Raw genomic sequence first — 21,818 nt, 5'->3', positions numbered from 1 at the left:
CAGTTCTGGCAGGAAAATATGAAATACAGCCTATGCAGAATTACAAAAACTCCATCTCTAATATCTCCTTCAAACCACCCTGTCTCTTGCCTGGAATACTGTATGGTATCTGGCCTCCCCACTTCTACCTTTTCCCTACTCCAGTATGTTCTCCACAGCACAGCCGAGTGGATGCTTTGAACACTCAACTTATGTTACAATATTTCTAGGATCCCAACATTCAAATGACTTCCCATCAAACTCAGAATAAAGTGGTTGTAGTTTATGATGTTGTCATGATCTAAACATAAACCATCCCTGAACTCTTCATCAGGACCCATGATTTCCCGACCTGAGGCTCCTACAGTTGGGGTATGAAGAGCCCTTTTAAAAGTAAAATAATATTAGGTTGGTGACCATGTAATTGTGATTTTTCCCATTGAAAGTAATGGCAAAAAATGCAATTACTTTTGCACCACCCTAATATCTTGAAGCTTAAGCTGGATTTACTTCCTCTTAAAGTAGCTTCTGCCTGTGCCTCCCTGCCTCGCTCATTCCCAGCAGCTGCCGGCCATCTGGCCATTCCTTGAAGGGACATTCTTCTGACTTAAGACTTTAGCACATGTGATTTCCTTTATACTTCTCTTCTGCCAAGATTCCTCGTGGTTAAGTATCTTACATCCTTCACCCTAACAGAAGGGACATTCCCTGGTTATTTCAAGAGTGTGTAAATATTCTATTCCCTTTTAGCCTGAATGTTCTTTTTTTCTTCCAGTACTTATCATGACTTAATATATATTTATATACTATGTATGGATTCTACTGCTTTACCAGCTAGACTATATGCTTAATGTAAAGAAAGGGGTTTTACTTTTTATTCACATCTCTATTTCCATTGCTAGAACAGTGTCTGAGACATGGTAGACATTTATTACTAAATGGACAAATCTAAAACAGAGTGACTTAGAACTATTCCTTTTCTTCCAAAAGGCAAGCATTACAAGTTCCACTAAATAAGTCAGTCTTCTCTAAAGAAGGTGGCTTTTAGATATTAAACGCTTATAGGCTTTTAAAATTAATAAAGAAACAGTTTTAAGTGAGGTTAACCCCAATCACACCACTTTAATTGCTATCAGCAACTTCATTCTTCCAAGTACTTAAATAATTCACAAATACACCTATGATGATTATCTGTATATACAAAAGATGAAGATTTACATTTATTTGGCCAGAAATACTTTTGAAACAGCGTGGAAAGTGGATAGGATATTTGGGAGAACAAAGCCATGTATCCCTTTCAGAGATAAGAGGACCAAGGGGTTTCAAAAGAATCAGCAGATGGGAGGTGGAGTTTGTCTTCTGCACTATTTCTACTTCTGATATCGTTTTGGATAAAGATCTATGCTTCTCGAATATGTCATTTATATTAATTCAGATAAACATCCTGCTCAATAATATGGAAGAAACTTATAGCCACAGAGGAAACAATGACGGCCAACCATAGACAATGAATGGACCATGTGAGGTCCAGGACCAGAGCTTTGCATTCAGTACCTATGCTTAGGCCCCAGCCTTCTGTGAGAAGCCTGTATCTGAGATAGCCCTCCTAGTTCTAATCCATGAATACTGGAATTTCTCCCATTAATCTACATTATCAGGTCAAATTTATTTAGTCCTGATACCAAAAACATAAAATATAAAAACATATCAAAAACATAAAAGCCAGCAAGTAAATTCATATAGCATTAACACCTTTAGAGGGCACTTGTAGCACGACATAATTGCAACATCCATGTTTTTAATCCATGCAATCATAAATTCTATAACTTAAGTTTCATTATTACAAAAAGAATGAAGAAGCCTGGGCAGTATCAAAAATAGGATGGCAGGGACTCTACGTAGTTGCTTTGACCCAACTCATTCCTACCATTGACAATACCTGTAAAGTGATTTCCAAACAAAGATAGAACAAAGCTCACCTGAACCCTCAGACAATCCCTGAGATTATTCTAGCTCCAAATTAGGAACAGGTTATAACCAGAACCTTCTAGAATTATATGAAACACCAATGGATTATGGCACTTCCACATCTTTCTCTTTTTTCCTGTGCTACCAAATGTTATAATCCCACTGAGCACCTTATAATTTTCATGTTTTATTGTGAAATACATTTTCTTCTCATCCAGAGAAGAAACGCTTGTTCAAAACCCTTCATGTCAAAAGAAGATAGAAAATTCATGAATATAGGCTGACTAATAAGACTATTTGATCTTTTGCAGAGGTCATAAATGTAATCTTTCACCTAATGCCTTCACAATCCTAAATTCACTAAGGGAGGAAAGGAAAGATTGTATGAAAGACTCTCAAAACTATTTCCAAATGAAAATGAGTCTAAAGTTGCTACAGGTTTTTCTTCATGCAACTATTGCCTCTTTACCTGTGTTATATTTCCAAACGTTTACTGCAGCTTAGAAACATATGCTCCCGAGTCAGTGACTAAAAATCTCACTTTTATTTTTGGAAACTTTAATTCTACAAATTTGAAACAGACACTATGATAAGATATATTTATAAATTCTTCAGTGAGCATATGTTTTTTTTCTCAATATTAAGGACACCTTTTTCTTTAGCTACTAAAAAAATCCTTCTATCAAAATTTTAACATCAAATATTTTAATATATTTATGACACACAACAGCAATTCTTTTAGGAAATATCATTAAATATAAATCAACTTGGATAATATTTAAGTATATAATAATGTTAACAGTCCTTTGCAAAGCTATGACTACAATTAAATGGCCTTGAGCACAACCTCCAATACAATATCTAGTTTTCCATTTTACAATCAAGGTCTCAAGCTCACAATCTCCATTGAGCATCTACAATTAGTCAGGGCACTGAGGATGGAGCACTAGTTATACAAAATGTCTTCTATAGAATATATTCTTAGAATGCAACCTAAACCTGTACAAAAATAAAATCTCAAGGTCAGTGACCAAATCTTTGCATTTCAACTATCCTCATCTGTTTTCGTGTACGGCAAAAAGATACTCCTTCAGTAAAGCCTACTTAATGATAGTATGATTCTAAACTAGTAGGCAGTATGTTCATAAAATGATAGCATAGTTACCATCATGTATACATTGAACAAAAAAACCTCGTTGTTATGAAATAAGCTATAATTTTTATTTCATTGAAAAAAAAGAAGAAGAAAATGAATGTTATCCCAGATACTAGTTCTACTTTGAGAAGAAGTAATGTCTTTAAGGTTTGGATATATGAAGGAAAACATGTTAATAAATAAGTTCTATTCTTTTTTACTGTGAATGTACTGTATTTCACACTATCTATTACAATGTGAATTTTATTTATGCTTTTCACCTATTGAAATGAAACTTATACAATGCCTTTATTTGATAATAACTTGGTCATTCCATAGTTTTAAGAGTATTTGGTCGCTGAGTGTTCGTTGATACCATGTATCAAAAAGAAACAGAGGAAAGTCAGTACATCCCCAGTGTTATTCCTGGCCACCTCACACATCTCATTTGTGAATAGGTAATATTCAGTGCAAATCAGTGATGACATTTTCTTTGAGAATGCAAAAGATACCTTCTCTAAGTAGATTTAAGAAAATGTAAGAGAGAGAAAAGCATAAGTGTTGAATCTGAGGGCCGCTAATTTAAATGTAAAAATTACCCCTTATTTGCAGCGTCAGTCTCTTCTCTCAATTCCCAAAGGAAAAGTGTGGCCCAACTGATAGAACAGTAATTCGTCTGGATTTATAGAATATCGGAATGGATCTTTGGGCTGTTGTCTCACGACCTCCTCCCTGCACCCTAAAATCCCAGTGTCCACTTCAAACCATTCTGCTCGACTTCTGCCAGATTCACATTCCTAGAATACCAGCACAACATCGTGGAAATAGCTCTGGAGCCAGAAAGACATTATTTGAAATTCTGGTTCCCTCACTTTCTTTATCTGTGGCTTTAAGCAAATCATTGAACGTTTCTGAACAGCAGGTTCCTTCAAGTGCAAAATGAAAATAATGTGTAAAATAATGTTCATTTTCTTGCAAAGCTATCAAAATTGTGGATATGTATGTAAATCACCTTGCAAGCAGAAAATGCTATTATGTGTTGGCAAAATGATGATGATGATGATTATGGTAAAGATGATGAAAAGAGGCACAGATACTCCACCTCTTTTCAGAAACTTGCAATTGTCCCCTTTGTATGATATGTAAAGGCCACATTTTTCTGTGTGCAATGTTAAGATGCTCTATCAATTTTTCCTGTTCTATGTATTGAGTACAACGTCTGATACTCACAAAGGTATATTTTTTCTGCTCCAATCAGATAAATTACTCACCATTCTTTTATGCTCTATGCTAATTTGTGTTCAAAACCCTTTTTGCCAATTACTTCTTCAAAGTAGAGTATTCCTCTTGCTTTCAGCACCTATCCAAGTTCCACTAGTTTTTCAAGACTAAGTTCAAGAAGTTGAACTTTTCTTTAAAGCCTCTGGCATCTCTTTAGGACTCACATACCTGCTAAAAAGGGAATTTCTGAATATTTTGGCATTATGGCAGAATTCAATTGGTCTTGTAATATCAGCATAAGAGATATGACGACCTGAGAGCATTTCTTGTATTTTAAGAATTACAGCCATTGTTTTGTAACTGTAATAATTAGATGAAACATTCATAAATTACCTTGAAGCCAAACCCATAGTGAGGCCCAGAAACAATGTCCCAGTGATCAAGCAATTATTGAATCCAATGATAACATATGAAGGATGCAAAAGAGAGACAATGAAATTATCTATGATTTCATAAGAACATAGGATATTTTGGAAAATAAAGCAATTCACATAAAGCATTTTTCTGAATATATTCAAATAGGTCACACAAACCTACACAGATATTGTATCGCTAACTTATAAATCTTCTTTCTAATTTATTGCTTTCATTAAAATATGAAATAGAATTCAAGAATATTTACTGGATATATAAAAATATTTATTGGCAATAACATATTTTACTAACAAGAGAATATTTACTCAAAAGTTGTAATAACACCATTTCCCATGAAAATTATTAGCAAAAACACATTCACATTATTTTAGAAAACAGAAAAACTGGTATTGATGTAAATAAGAATATCAATAAATATTTTATATATTTTGGTCCTATGTTACTGACATATTTCTAATTATATTTTTTGACGAATCTTTCTTATATTTATATTTAATAAATGTACTCACTTGACATTCAATTGATAATTTATCTTTGCAGAAAACGTAAGCAAATGCTTCCCAAAGGTTTCCAGAGATTTTTTTTCAGTTTTATAATTTACTTCTATATAGCTAAGCATTACTTTTTATTATGCACAGGATTTTATTATTTTATTCTGTATCCCTGTCTCCTCCACACTATACAGGTAGCATGTAAAGAAATCAATATTCATGCTAAGTTTGAAATATACTTTCCATTAACGAATACAAGAATTTAGCATGAAGACTCAACAATTGAAAAGAATTCAAGGTACATGAGGCATAGATAGGAGGATTTCCATAACAATTTTACTTTTTTACTGTAAGAATATAGATTACTTCAAACACAATGACTAATTCACATTCATTTGGAACAATGAAACAAAATTTTAATATCAACATATACTATTACTGTCTAAATGTAGAGTCGAAATTCTTACCTGAGTTTTGCTTAGTATACAGTTATTTTTTAAAGACAGGAAATGTATGACAAATTGTCAGGATAATAACACCCACAGTGGAAAAATGAAAGGGGAAAGGAAGGAATCACTTTAAAAAGAAACTCCAAATCCTTCTGCTTCCCAGCTCTACAGTAGTTTTGCTCTGCATCTTGTAAGCAACTGTCTTTGCTCTGAGAACAACACATGCTGTACCTCAGCAGGAAAATATAAAAATTAAATAGAAAACCACAAGGTTATTAAACACTCTTACCCTCTGGGCTTGCTGGGCTGCTCCAGTGTCTCAGTTGCAGCCACATGTGTAAACAACAGAATTTCCTGCATCCTTTTCTCATCCGTACAGTTCTGGAGTCCTAGCCAACAGGATTATTTCCAGCATTAAGGGCACTCCACACAAACTCAAAAAAGATTCCCATTGGTTGTGAAGTTTTATTGAAACCACTACCACAACCCCCTCTTTGGATCACCATTGAGCCAACCAAAATAAAACCATTTTTAATGTTCCCTAAGTATGGTTATCCAAAGCTTTCCATACAACCATTTGAAACCTGTACTGTGGATGAAAAAGAAAAAGACACCCACGCCTTGATCCACAAGTGTTCTTAATGTTTAATTACAACAGTATAACTTGTAATAATAATAGAAAAACTAAAATAGCAAAGCAAAAAAAAAAAAAAGCCCAGGAAGTACCTATCTGAAAAATATTTAAAAGGAAATTATACTGCACATTACAGGAACAATATAAAATATTCATCCAATCTGATTTGCATTAGATTGCACAAAAGCAAAAGAAATCATATTTAATAAAAGATTTGAGTATACAAATCATGAAACAATAACTGCATGTCAAAACCCTTGATTGTGGTCACATTGGCAGGAATTGTGAGCTGTAGTCCCCGGGGTGCCCAGTGAAAGCTCTCTGGCCCCTTTCCCTGGGGAAAAAGAATATGAAGTAGCTTTCCATTGACATGACTCAGCTGTCAGGAAGTGTTCTGATGGGGGTTGAGGGGGGAGGCGAGAGATCACATAAAAAAGAGCTTCTCTGGTTGAAACTAGCAGCAAAAAAATGTCCAAAGTAAAAAAGAAAAGTCAAAAGGTAACAGGATAGCCTTGCTCCTTTTAAGTAGCAAAAAAACAACATTTGAAATTTAGGCAATAAATGTCTTCAAATTATTTTATTTTTCACCCTTCCCTAATTTGTAGGCTTATTACGGTGTTATCATCTATCTCTACTTAACATTCTTTTCCCACTTACTTTCTGATGCAATGGAAAAGGTGGCCATCTTCCTGTATAAAGCCAATTGACCCATCGAGCTAAACTTAATCATGATTCTCTCTCCTCTATCTTTGAACGTTCCCTCCTGTCCGGATTTTCCCCACGTGATGTTAAATACCATACATTCTCTAGTCAATTTCATGTATGCCAATGAACTTTACTTTTAATTCAGTCATTTTCACTTTCAGGTACCATTCTTTCTGTCATGGCCAAATGATTGAAAGTTCTCCAGCCAAGAATTTTATTTAGTCTTGCATCCACCTGATTTTAATTCATCAAAGTGACAATACACACACACACACACACACACACACATGCATGTACATAAATATTCTATTTATTTTTAATTTTTCTAACTCACCTCAATCCTTCTAGTTGACATCTACACAGCCTTTCATACTGTTCACAACCCTGCCCACATGAAGACATCTCTTGTCTTGGCATAACACTCTCCTGGTTTTCCTCTTGACCTCTTTTGCTGGCCCTTCTCACCCTCTTTGATGATGCCTCATCCTCCATCCATCCTTTGGTGTGCATCACATATGTTCTTAGATAAATCTACATATAAATGGTATATTCTCTCTCTGGATAAAGCCACCCATCCTCATAGTTTAAATTACCATCTTTCTTTTTAGATGACTCCCAAATATCTACTTTTAGACCCAATGACTGTCTGAATTTTCAATACTCATATTTGTCAGCCCACTATACCCCTCAACTAGAAAATTACACAGATATGGCATCAGCTTATCTAAACTGAAATCATCATCTCTCCATGGACCTGCTGTGTTATCTATGTAAATGTCAACCCAGTTTTACAGTTTCCCAAAGAAAAATTCTGGAAGTCATCCTTGACTCCTTCTATTCTATATCAAATCCAGCACTAGTTCCTTTTGATTATACTTCAATAATTTGCCCAGTCTTCTTTTCTCACTGCCACTACTCTGGTTCAGACAACCATCATGATCTTTCTAGATCACTGCAGTGTCTCTCTGTCTCTTAAATTGTCTTTCTTCTCCCAGCTTTCTTCTGCTCCATCTTTAAAAAGATACAGTAGTCTATTTCCGGTACTTATGCACTTGAAGTCCATGAAGGTTTTTTAATCTTTTTGTCAACTCCCTTCTTCATAATACATTGGCTTTTCTTGGCTTCTAAACCACAACTTTTCTAGATTATGTTTTCATCTTTCTGACCATGTCATACTTTTATCCCCTCTCTTATTACTTTTCTTTCCTTTCAATGGTGGAACACCTTCAAGAGGCCATCATTGGTCCTATTCTTATTTCACATTTCTGTCTAGGTAAGCACATCTGTTTTTGAGGCTTCTTTTGCCACACATATTTGGTGAGTTGAATTGTGTCCTCTAAGAAGATATATTGAAATCCTAACTTCCTGTACCTATGAAGATGATTATTTGGAAATACGGTCTTTGAAGATGTAATCAGGTTACACTGAGGCCATACTGGGTGAGGGGGAACCATATTCCAAGGACTTGTATCCTCATAAGAAGAGGGAAATTTAGACAAAACGCACAGGGGAGAATGTTGTGAGAGAGACAGAGACAGCAATTGGAGTGATAGGTCTACAAACCAAGGATTGCCAACCATCACCAAAATTAGGAAGAGTCAAAAAAGGGTTCTTCCCTAGGGCTTTCAAAAGAGTATTGCTGACTGACATCTTGATTTTGGACTTCTGTCCTTCAGAACTATGAGATCAATTGTTTTAAGCCACAAACTTGTGATATTTGTTACAGCAGCCCTAGTGAACTAATAGACATATAATTCTGAAATATATATGGCCTTTCCTTAATAGTTTCTAAAGCTTCAGATCTGTATTTCCAAAGTCTAATGAAATATTCACTAGGAGCCATTTAAATCTTTCAATAATCTCCAATCATCAAAGCTCTTATATTTCTTCCGAAGACTCTACTGTATCTTGTAATCTCAATCTAGCCCCATCCAGTCTCTCAATCTAGAAATCTCTTTGCTATTCCTAAGTTCTTACTCTTCTTCACCATTCAAATTTAATAACCCGTCTTTACATTAAAACCTGAAACCTCTCTCTTCACTTTATCTCCTTCTGTATCTTTGCATTTGTTTTTGTCTTACCACAACATTTTTTTTTTTTTTTTTTACTGGCGAGTTTACAAATTAATGACCAGTAAAATCTGACTATATATGGAGGGCACTGTCTTACTTGCAGCTTTCTCATGTGAAGGCTCTTTTTGCCCCACACAGGCCACAACCATTAGGGTCAGAAAATGGAGAAGGTGTCCTACTTCATCCTTATTGCCAAGTCTGCCTCACAAATTATTTGTTCATTGATAGCATGGGACCTCTCAGAATAAAAAACAAAGTTATCTATGGTCTCCATCCTAGTTTCAAAGGGTACATCGACACCATGGTTATAATACCCCTGTGCACACACACCTCCATTATCCTAACACTCCATATCATATAACAATCACTTGGGGGCATATGATAAAGAGACGAGAAAAATTCAGCCGTGAGGTTTCCAAAATTTGTTGGCAAGTTTATAATGTCTTGAGGTACTCAGCACACATCAATGAAGGCTATTTTTTTTTAGTGGATTCCAGTTTCATTCTACATATTACATCCACCCTGTGGGTTCTGATATTTACCTACCCAGTATCCTTTCTCCCTTTCCTCCCTACAAAACAATTTTTTATTTTTGTTTGGAGCAACAATGTGGTCATTTTTTTTGAAGCCTATGTTACCAAGCCTCCCATACAAATATATTTGGCTGTGTGGTGCAGTTTTGCCAATGAAACATAAGTGGAAATCTAATGGGTTTAGAAAACTTTTGTATTTCTAATGCCAGTCTGTTGACTTCTTTCTCTTTTTTCATTCCTTGAACAAGACAAGGAGGCTGGAGATGGGGAAGCTATTCTTAAATGATAATAAGCTGGTGAAGTCATGATTCAGATGCAAGCCACACATTGAGAACAGCAGTAAAACTCTGAGTTTTAATCAACCTCATGAGAGATTTCAGTGATGGGAGGAAAAGAGAACTTAATCTGGTGAAGCCACTGTCATCAGGTTTCTCCTATGTCCTTATTTATTAGATTGGGAGCTAGAGGCCAATGGAAAATTGTAATAGTATCTAGCTGGAGAAACAATGGGGAATAAATATTAATCAAAACTGATTTACTCTAGATTCTTATCACCTAATTGGGAGGTCCAGAAGAAATCATGAAATTGAAAACTCCTGCAGCAACCTTTACCCAATGTTACATCTATCTCTCACCATATCTGTGGGGCAGTTCCTGATTCCAATAGAAAAAGTTAACGCTACAGCTAAAGCTATACTGGTGGATTTATGTACCTGTCTGTTTTCTCAAAAAGCTATGAATTTCTTAAGAAGATAATGTTGTATTTATATTTTAATATTTTGCAAAAAACAAAGCAAATAAATTAATGAATAAGACCACAAAGCTGACAGCTGGTTGGTAGCAGAGCTAAGACATATCTTGGTCTCATCATTTAATGAAACAGTAAATGGATAAATGGATGGATGGATGGATGGATGGATGGATGGATGGATGGATATTCTATGAACATACTGAAGAAAATAAAAATAATGTCTCAGAATCGGACATGTTATAGAGAAAGTAAATTAGAAAGATATACTATCAAAATATTGAATAAGTATATAGTGATTTTAAAATTCTTCTAACATTGGTTTTTATTCTACTTTTATAAATTGAAAGAATTAATAGTACTAACATTAGATACATATATGCCTGTCATCGACAAACTTTTTTAAAAAATAGAAATACCAATTAAGTCAGACAAATAATTTTCTGTGGACCTTAGTAACTATTTGAATTCCGCTACAGTTTAAAAATCTTAATGGCTACAATTTTAATGACAACAATATTTGTAAAATTACTCTAAAACAACATGTTACAATGTCAGCAACTGAAAATTTTTTGTAAGGAAGCCAATTTTGGTTTTGATTGAAATGTACTAGGTGATTTGAAATCATAGATTACAACTGTGCATTCATGAACTCACAGAGTACAGCTGTGGTGTTCCAAATGCACTCTTCATTAATCAGGAGAGACCAGCTGGGCAGCCAGCAGGTCTTATTAAACTAACCTGTGTGTGCCCAGATACAGTCACATAAGTCCAAATGACAATAAGTGAATCTTATTGCATCAATCTAGAAAATATTATTTTCTTCCCTCCTGCTATTTTAAAAATAGGAATAATTGTCTCTCAATGTCCAAATTTTCTTTATAAACAGAATATGCACTTTTATGAAAATGTCTAAGCTATAACACAAAACTAACTATATTTATATTTTGTCAACTAAAGGAAAAGTTAAGAAAACAATTTAAGAAAAATAAATCTAATCTACAATATCTAACATGCAGAAAAAAGAAGAGATCTTGATGTCAGACAGGCCTGAGTTCAAGCATTGGTTGTGTGTTCTCAAAGAGTTACATCTCTAAGCCTCGGTTCAAGTATGTGTAAAAAAGATGTAACCTGTAGAAACATTCTGACAGTTAAGAAATAATGGATATAAGTGCTAAAACAGTACGTCACAAACACCTGAATGAATTAAAGGGATGGATTAAGGCTATCACTGGCAATAGTTGTTTTTAAGAGTAGTTATGTTGACCTAACTGCAACATCTACAAAATAATCTAAAATCAAATTTTTATATTGTAAATATGAACATTAAGTAAATTCAGGCATGTCCCAGTCTGATGGTATAACTTACGTTGCTACCTCTCAACCTGGTAGCTTTATGGTCATGGTCTTGTTTTGGCATCCACTACTTAGGCTCCGAGCAAAGCAGTTAGACACATTACTTAAGCTTCTAATAAAAACTGTGAAATTATCTTTGTGAGACTGAAAATTTTAGAACATTTGCTTGGGAATATCTAATTATTAAGAGGTGGCCTAGAAATAAATATTTGCTTTTTAAATCATCAGATATAGCTGATAAAATTAGGATTAAAAATATAGTCATTAGGTTTTAATTGAGCTCATAGCAGCAGTAAATGGTTAACTGTTCTTTCCTTGGTTAATAATAGTAGGATGTACTCAGCTTCTTGGAATGATTTCTCCAACTCAGCACTGTGGACCTTTGGACCAGATAATGCTTTGTTATGTGAGGCTGTCCTGTGCGCAGCTGCCACCTACTAGCTACCAGTAGCACATTTAGTTGTGCAAACCAAAAATGTTACCAGACATTGCCAAATATCCCCTGAGAGGCAAAAACTCTATCAGTTGAGATACACTGTTTACAGTGATGGAGTAGTGAAAAGATGAGGCTACGATTTAGTTCTGCTACTCAGCAGCTGTCAGCTGTGTGGTCTTAGGCAAAGTTGACTCCATTATTCCAAGTCTCATTGTTATTTTTCATATATAAATATATATATGAATATATGAGAGAAAATATATATATAGTCAGGAAATTAGACTAGATAATTTTGAAAGTTTAGCTTACTAAAACATTAGGTGCTTTAAAATCTCTCTTTCTCACATACACACACACACACATACACACACTCTATTTACACATTTCAAACATAGTCATTTATGTAGTCTGTACACATTAGGCTATCAAAGACATAAGGAATAAAAACAAAAAAAAACATTGTTACAAAACCCATTTTTGTTTGCAGGAAGCAGTCTTACAGTGTATAATTAATTTTTCTGAGTGACTTCTACTCCAGGATTACCACATACATAGAAAGAACAAATGCTTCACCTTAATACATCTAAATCAATAAGGCTAAGCACTGCTTTTTTCTCAAAAGAACTCAACATCCACTATACTGATGAAAAGTGCTTTTACTGATCAGGAACTATATTAAATTGCAATTCAACTTGACCTCACTAAGGAAAGAGTGTCTACAACTTAACAAAAACATTAATTTTACAACATTGATTAAGAAAACATATCTCATTTCTGAATCTGTAAACTCGAACTATTTGGGCAGCCCTTGCTAAATAATCTCTTTCAAGACAGAACTAATCCTCCTCAATGCATAATTGTCCTGAATAATGTTAATAAATATTCTTGGCAGCAATATTGAACCACCACTTGCTAAGGCATACGGATTAATTTTCTCTACATAGTATGAGTTTTATTTTACTCTCTTGAAAGTTTATTGTTTTTTGCTAATCTCTCCTTTTGATTTCTGACAACAAAATATTACCTACACTCTGTGAAATTCAAAAAATGTCATTTCCTTATATCATAAGAGATTGTCATTTTTGGCCATAAATTGCAGCTATAAACAAAACACAATAAAAGTTACCAAAACAGGGAGGAGCCAAGATGGCTGAATAGGAACAGCTCCGGTCTACAGCTCCCAGCGTGAGCGACGCAGAAGACGGTGATTTCTGCATTTCCATCTGAGGTACCAGGTTCATCTCACTAGGGAGTGCCAGACAGTGGGCGCAGGTCAGTGGGTGCGCGCACCGTGCACGAGCCGAAGCAGGGCGAGGCATTGCCTCACTTGGGAAGCGCAAGGGGTCAGGGAGTTCCCTTTCCGAGTCAAAGAAAGGGGTGAGGGACAGCACCTGGAAAATCGGGTCACTCCCACCCGAATACTGCACTTTTCCGACGGGCTTGAAAAACGGCGCACCACGAGATTATATCCCGCCCTGGCTCGGAGGGTCCTACGCCCTCGGAGTCTCGCTGATTGCTAGCACAGCAGTCTGAGATCAAACTGCAAGGCGGCAGCGAGGCTGGGGGAGGGGCGCCCGCCATTGCCCAGGCTTGCTTAGGTAAACAAAGCAGCCCAGAAGCTCGAACTGGGTGGAGCCCACCACAGCTCAAGGAGGCCTGCCTGCCTCTGTACGCTCCACCTCTGGGGGCAGGGCACAGACAAACAAAAAGACAGCAGTAACCTCTGCAGACTTAAATGTCCCAGTCTGACAGCTTTGAAGACAGCAGTGGTTCTCCCAGCACACAGCTGGAGATCTGAGAATGGGCAGACTGCCTCCTCAAGTGGGTCCCTGACCCCTGACCCCTGAGCAGCCTAACTGGGAGGCACCCCCCAGCAGGGGCAGACTGACACCTCACATGGCAGGGTATTCCAACAGACCTGCAGCTGAGGGTCCTGTCTGTTAGAAGGAAAACTAACAAACAGAAAGGACATCCACACCAAAAACCCATCTGTACATCACCATCATCAAAGACCAAAAGTAGATAAAACCACAAAGATGGGGAAAAAACAGAACAGAAAAACTGGAAACTCTAAAAAGCAGAGAACCTCTCCTCCTCCAAAGGAACGCAGTTCCTCACCAGCAACGGAACAAAGCTGGACGGAGAATGACTTTGACGAGCTGAGAGAAGAAGGCTTCAGACGATCAAATTACTCTGAGCTACGGGAGGACATTCAAACCAAAGGCAAAGAAGTTGAAAACTTTGAAAAAAATTTAGAAGAATGTATAACTAGAATAACCAATACAGAGAAGTGCTTAAAGGAGCTGATGGAGCTGAAAACCAAGGCTCGAGAACTACGTGAAGAATGCAGAAGCCTCAGGAGCCAATGCGATCAACTGGAAGAAAGGGTATCAGCGATGGAAGATGAAATGAATGAAATGAAGCGAGAAGGGAAGTTTAGAGAAAAAAGAATAAAAAGAAATGAGCAAAGCCTCCAAGAAATATGGGACTATGTGAAAAGACCAAATCTACGTCTGATTGGGGTACCTGAAAGCGATGGGGAGAATGAAACCAAGTTGGAAAACACTCTGCAGGATATTATCCAGGAGAACTTCCCCAATCTAGCAAAGCAGGCCAACGTTCAGATTCAGGAAATACAGAGAACGCCACAAAGATACTCCTCGAGAAGAGCAACTCCAAGACACATAATTGTCAGATTCACCAAAGCTGAAATGAAGGAAAAAATGTTAAGGGCAGCCAGAGAGAAAGGTCGGGTTACCCTCAAAGGGAAGCCCATCAGACTAACAGCAGATCTCTCGGCAGAAACGCTACAAGCCAGAAGAGAGTGGGGGCCAATATTCAACATTCTTAAAGACAAGAATTTTCAACCCAGAATTTCATATCCAGCCAAACTAAGCTTCATAAGCGAAGGAGAAATAAAATACTTTACAGATAAGCAAATGCTGAGAGATTTTGTCAACACCAGGCCTGCCCTAAAAGAGCTCCTGAAGGAAGCACTAAACATGGAAAGGAACAACCAGTACCAGCCGCTGCAAAATCATGCCAAAATGTAAAGACCATCCAGAGTAGGAAGAAACTGCATCAACTAACGAGCAAAATAACCAGCTAACATCATAATGACAGGATCAAATTCACACATAACAATATTAACTTTAAATGTCAATGGAGTAAATGCTCCAATTAAAAGACACAGACTGGCAAATTGGATAAAGAGTCAAGACCCATCAGTGTGCTGTATTCAGGAAACCCATCTCACGTGCAGAGACACACATAGGCTCAAAATAAAAGGATGGAGGAAGATCTACCAAGCAAATGGAAAACAAAAAAAGGCAGGGGTTGCAATCCTAGTCTCTGATAAAACAGACTTTAAACCAACAAAGATGAAAAGAGACAAAGAAGGCCATTACATAATGGTAAAGGGATCAATTCAACAAGAAGAGCTAACTATCCTAAATATATATGCACCCAATACAGGAGCACCAAGATTCATAAAGCAAGTCCTGAGCGACCTACAAAGAGACTTAGACTCCCACACATTAATAATGGGAGACTTTAACACCCCACTGTCAACATTAGACAGATCAACGAGACAGAAAGTCAACAAGGATACCCAGGAATTGAACTCAGCTCTGCACCAAGCGGACCTAATAGACATCTACAGAACTCTCCACCCCAAATCAACAGAATATACATTTTTGTCAGCACCACACCACACCTATTCCAAAATTGACCACATACTTGGAAGTAAAGCTCTCCTCAGCAAATGTAAAAGATCAGAAATTATAACAAACTCTCTCTCAGACCACAGTGCAATCAAACTAGAACTCAGGATTAAGAATCTCACTCAAAACCGCTCAACTACATGGAAACTGAACAATCTGCTCCTGAATGACTACTGGGTACATAACGAAATGAAGGCAGAAATAAAGATGTTCTTTGAAACCAACGAGAACAAAGACACAACATACCAGAATCTCTGGGACGCATTCAAAGCAGTGTGTAGAGGGAAATTTGTAGCACTAAATGCCCACAAGAGAAAGCAGGAAAGATCCAAAATTGACACCCTAACATCACAATTAAAAGAACTAGAAAAGCAAGAGCAAACACATTCAAAAGCTAGCAGAAGGCAAGAAATAACTAAAATCAGAACAGAACTGAAGGAAATAGAGACATAAAAAACCCTTCAAAAAATTAATGAATCCAGGAGCTGGTTTTTTGAAAGGATCAACAAAATTGATAGACCGCTAGCAAGACTAATAAAGAAAAAAAGAGAGAAGAATCAAATAGACGCAATAAAAAATGATAAAGGGGATATCACCACCGATCCCACAGAAATACAAACTACCATCAGAGAATACTACAAACACCTCTACGCAAATAAACTAGAAAATCTAGAAGAAATGGATAAATTCCTCGACATATACACTCTCCCAAGACTAAACCAGGAAGAAGTTGAATCTCTGAATAGACAAATAACAGGATCTGAAATTGTGGCAATAATCAATAGCTTACCAACCAAAAAGAGTCCAGGACCAGATGGATTCACAGCCGAATTCTACCAGAGGTACAAGGAGGAACTGGGACCATTCCTTCTGAAACTATTCCAATCAATAGAAAAAGAGGGAATCCTCCCTAACTCATTTTATGAGGCCAGCATCATTCTGATACCAAAGCCGGGCCGAGACACAACCAAAAAAGAGAATTTTAGACCAATATCCTTGATGAACATTGATGCAAAAATCCTCAATAAAATACTGGCAAACCGAATCCAGCAGCACATCAAAAAGCTTATCCACCATGATCAAGTGGGCTTCATCCCTTGGATGCAAGGCTGGTTCAATATATGCAAATCAATAAATGTAATCCAGCATATAAACAGAACCAAAGACAAAAACCACATGATTATCTCAATAGATGCAGAAAAGGCCTTTGACAAAATTCAACAACCCTTCATGCTAAAAACTCTCAATAAATTAGGTATTGATGGGACGTATCTCAAAATAATAAGAGCCATCTATGACAAACCCACAGCCAATATCATGCTGAATGGACAAAAACTGGAAGCATTCCCTTTGAAAACTGGCACAAGACAGGGATGCTCTCTCTCACCACTCCTATTCAACATAATGTTGGAAGTTCTGGCCAGGGCAATTAGGCAGGAGAAGGAAATAAAGGGTATTCAATTAGGAGAAGAGGAAGTCAAATTGTCCCTGTTTGCAGACGACATGATTGTATATCTAGAAAACCCCATTGTCTCAGCCCAAAATCTCCTTAAGCTGATAAGCAACTTCAGCAAAGTCTCAGGATACAAAATCAATGTACAAAAATCACAAGCATTCTTATACACCAATAACAGACAAACAGAGAGCCAAATCATGAGTGAACTCCCATTCACAATTGCTTCAAAGAGAATAAAATACCTAGGAATCCAACTTACAAGGGATGTGAAGGACCTCTTCAAGGAGAACTGCAAACCACTGCTCAAGGAAATAAAAGAGGATACAAACAAATGGAAGAACATTCCATGCTCATGGGTAGGAAGAATCAATATCGTGAAAATGGCCATACTGCCCAAGGTAATTTACAGATTCAATGCCATCCCCATCAAGCTACCAATGACTTTCTTCACAGAATTGGAAAAAACTACTTTAAAGTTCATATGGAACCAAAAAAGAGCCCGCATTGCCAAGTCAATCCTAAGCCAAAAGAACAAAGCTGGAGGCATCACACTACCTGAACAAACTATACTACAAGGCTACAGTAACCAAAACAGCATGGTACTGGTACCAAAACAGAGATATAGATCAATGGAACAGAACAGAGCCCTCAGAAATAATGCCACATATCTACAACTATCTGATCTTTGACAAACCTGAGAAAAACAAGCAATGGGGAAAGGATTCCCTGTTTAATAAATGGTGCTGGGAAAACTGGCTAGCCATATGTAGAAAGCTGAAACTGGATCCCTTCCTTACACCTTATACAAAAATCAATTCAAGATGGATTAAAGACCTAAACGTTAGACCTAAAACCATAAAAACCCTAGAAGAAAACCTAGGCTTTACCATTCAGGACATAGGCATGGGCAAGGACTTCATGTCTAAAACACCAAAAGCAATGGCAACAAAAGCCAAAATTGACAAATGGGATCTAATTAAACTAAAGAACTTCTGCACAGCAAAAGAAACTACCATCAGAGTGAACAGGCAACCTACAGAATGGGAGAAAATTTTCGCAACCTACTCATCTGACAAAGGGCTAATATCCAGAATCTACAATGAACTCAAACAAATTTACAAGAAAAAAACAAACAACCCCATCAAAAAGTGGGCGAAGGACATGAACAGACACTTCTCAAAAGAAGACATTTATGCAGCCAAAAAACACATGAAAAAATGCTCATCATCACTGGCCATCAGAGAAACGTAAATCAAAACCACAGTGAGATACCATCTCACACCAGTTAGAATGGCAATCATTAAAAAGTCAGGAAACAACAGGTGCTGGAGAGGATGTGGAGAAATAGGAACACTTTTACACTGTTGGTAGGACTGTAAACTAGTTCAACCATTGTGGAAGTCAATGTGGCGATTCCTCAGGGATCTAGAACTGGAAGTACCATTTGACCTAGCCATCCCATTACTGGGTATATACCCAAAGGACTATAAATCATGCTGCTATAAAGACACATGCACATGTATGTTTATTGTGACATTATTCACAATAGCAAAGACTTGGAACCAACCCAAATGTCCAACAATGATAGACTGGATTAAGAAAATGTGGCACATATACACCATGGAATACTATGCAGCCATAAAAAAGGATGAGTTCATGTCCTTTGTAGGGACATGGATGAAATTGGAAGTCATCATTCTCAGTGAACTATCGCAAGAACAAAAAACCAAACACCGCATATTCTCACTCATAGGTGGGAATTGAACAATGAAATCACATGGACACAGGAAGGGGAATATCACACTCTGGGGACTGTTGTGGGGTGGGGGGAGGGGGGAGGGATAGCATTGGGAGATATACCTAATGCTAAATGACGAGTTGGTGGGTGCAGCGCACCAGCATGGCACATGTATACATACGTAACTATCCTGCACAATGTGCACAAGTACACTAAAACTTTAATAAAAAAAAAAAGTTACCAAAACAGTAATGCTGATAGCATAATCTATGGCTTTAAAGACAATCTGAACCAAGTACTAAAAGATCTAGGTTTGTTCTTGATCCTAACATGTTGCTTATGTTAGACCACATGTTTTACTGAAGGAGATTTTGGGAATTAAAAATGTATATATGTAGAAAATTATTACTTTTCTAATATTACAAGGATCTATATAAATAATGATTGAGTGGTAAAACATATTCTTTAATAAAAACAATATTGCATTTATTATAAGGTATGAATTTCTAAAGTATTACATTTAATTAGTCATGACATTAACCAGGTTTGATGGCTGGTATGGTTTGAATCTGTGTCCCCACTCCAATTTCATGTCGAATTGTAATCCCCAGTGTTGGAGGTGAGGTTTGATGGGAGGTGACTGGATCATGGGGGTGGATCTTTCATGAATGGTTTACAACCATCCCCTTGGTGCTGTTCTCATGATAAGAATTCTCGTGAGATCTGGTTGTTTAAAAATGTGTGTCACTTCCCTCTCTCTCTTCCTCCTGCTCCCACCATGTGAGACGCCTCACTCACCCTTTGCCTTCTGCCATGACTGGAAGCTTTTCTGAGCGCTGCCCCCTACAAAACAGAAGCTGCCATGCTTCCTGCACAGCCCACAGAACTGTGAGTCAATTAACCTCTTTTCTTTATAAATTACCCAGTCCCAGGCATTTCTTTACAGCAATGCCAGAATGTACTAATACAATGGCTCTTAACAAATACTGAATATTTAGAGCATATGTGAGGTAAGCCAGTGCAGCTTAAGGATTTAAAAAATTCATATAAATGAAACAGAAAAATGTCATGATTGAAAAACGCACTATTAGAATTGTTATACAATTTCCTTTTGAGAAAGAGTAAAACATGGAGTTTAGTCTTGAGTATCAACTGTTAAACCTGAGTCAATTATACTCAAAAACACTCATAAATGTTATCAGCAGACTTTAATTTAATATAATAGGCTCCGTATAGTATGTTTCCTCTCCTATTTCCCATAACATAAAAGTATTGCTCTTGCTCTAAAAATAAGCCTCTAACAATGGTGAAATCAAGAAAGGGTGATTTACATCTTCTGATGTAAATCAGACAAGACATTTTTGGGACTTTCTAAACACCAAAAATATATGGGAACTGATGACAGGGACATCTAAACATGGGAAACTACATCACCCAATATCTGAAAGAGAAGGCTGTCAACAAGGTAAAAGTCAGTCTTCCCAAAGTATCTGGTAGAATATCTAAGTGCAGTGTAAACCCAAACCAATGAGGTATAAACCATCAGGATTATCAATGCATTGCCTGCCTGACCACAGGGCTTGGGACCTTTTCTCTCTGCTCACACACACAGCAGCTGCTTGGACGGCAGAGTCTAATGCTGGAAGAAGTGACATTTGAATGAAGTAGATCACTCTCTGAGGAGGCTTCCTAGCATGAGCACAAGGGACAGGGAGAGACACATCACAAAGTTTTAGGAAACTTCAAGACTGCAACAAGCACTAAAAAATAAAGGAAAGAGGCTCTCCACTCCTAGTGAAACACACTTAAGGAATCTACTCAAAAATAAGACTTCTTATGTTTAGATTATGGACATCTAGAACCTGATTACCTGCTCTCCACCCACATATCACAATGGGAAACCTGACTGAAAACAGGAGCCTTCCCAGGCCAGGACTGCTGGATAAATAAGCGAACCAATCGTACCAACCTCCACTGGATACCAATTACCTCACCTGCAAAACGAGGCCAGTAAGTTGTTGAAAAGATGATTGTGAATCTGCAAAAGAGAATCTCTAGCCTGGCAGATAGTAAACACTCATTAAATGTAAATGGCAGGTATAATAACAATAGTAACAATAATAATAATAATGGCATACATTCAATTACACTAAAAAAGAATGGCCTCACATACGGTTAAATTTTTGTTTTTGTTTGGTGCTGATTAATCAGTCCTGTGATTAAAATATGGCCTTTGCCTTTTAGAAACAATGTTGAATATTTTTACTGTATTATGAAACATGACTAGCACAACACCACAAACATGAAAAATGAATATTATTTTCATTCTAAACACTTTCAAACAAATTTCCCTCAAGATTTCATTTAGTTTTGGTTAATCAATGCTGATTAAGTCAAATCTTTTATTTCCAACTACTGGAAATTAGAGAGTGAAGACAGTGTCTCTGAACTGTAGGAGGGTAATGCACCCCTGATCCAGATCGAAAAAAGCTGAGGATATCATAACTCTGATGTCAAAGCAGAGGACATGCAAAAATATCCATTCAGATGAAAAAGAAATATGCAGTGCAATTAGCTAATTAAATAAAGCACTAATATTTCCATGGCATACTTTCCTATACACAGACATAGCTTGTATTGACTTCAAAAACCTTTGAGAGAGAAGAGGAAAAGGAATAAATCATTACATTTTTATATGTGTGTGTGTATGTGTATATATATATATATATTTGAAAGGTGA

General features: G+C 36.8%; 1 protein-coding gene across 7 annotated transcripts in view, besides 2 other annotated features; it reads right to left on the bottom strand.

Annotated features, from left to right (window-relative positions):
• CCDC102B (coiled-coil domain containing 102B) overlaps positions 1–21,818 on the bottom strand; it is a 342,906-nt gene that overhangs the window by 253,973 nt on the left and 67,115 nt on the right. For 2 of the 7 annotated variants that reach the window (XM_047437805.1, XM_017025974.2), the window contains exon 1: positions 5,697–5,878. The exons of 4 other annotated variants lie outside the window; for them this stretch is intronic. The gene's annotated coding sequence lies outside the window, so the exon portion shown is untranslated. Of the gene's footprint in view, positions 1–5,696; positions 5,879–5,967; positions 6,070–21,818 lie in introns of those variants that run through there. One more of the 7 variants, NM_024781.3, reaches the window with a different exon arrangement.
• Positions 12,914–13,550: an enhancer, noted in NCBI's record as "H3K27ac-H3K4me1 hESC enhancer chr18:66457836-66458472 (GRCh37/hg19 assembly coordinates)". NCBI's record gives its function as "activates a minimal SCP1, AML or CMV promoter by ChIP-STARR-seq in naive H9 embryonic stem cells {active_cell/tissue: H9 hESC(naive)}" and the evidence as "EXISTENCE:reporter gene assay evidence [ECO:0000049][PMID:30033119]".
• Positions 13,551–14,188: an enhancer, noted in NCBI's record as "H3K27ac-H3K4me1 hESC enhancer chr18:66457198-66457835 (GRCh37/hg19 assembly coordinates)". NCBI's record gives its function as "activates a minimal SCP1, AML or CMV promoter by ChIP-STARR-seq in naive and primed H9 embryonic stem cells {active_cell/tissue: H9 hESC(naive and primed)}" and the evidence as "EXISTENCE:reporter gene assay evidence [ECO:0000049][PMID:30033119]".

Source organism: Homo sapiens, chromosome 18 (genome assembly GCF_000001405.40).
Source record: "Homo sapiens chromosome 18, GRCh38.p14 Primary Assembly".
Taxonomy (NCBI): domain Eukaryota; kingdom Metazoa; phylum Chordata; class Mammalia; order Primates; family Hominidae; genus Homo; species Homo sapiens.
The sequence above is the reverse complement of the archived record's forward strand: the minus strand, read 5'-3'. Positions and strand labels throughout refer to the sequence as shown.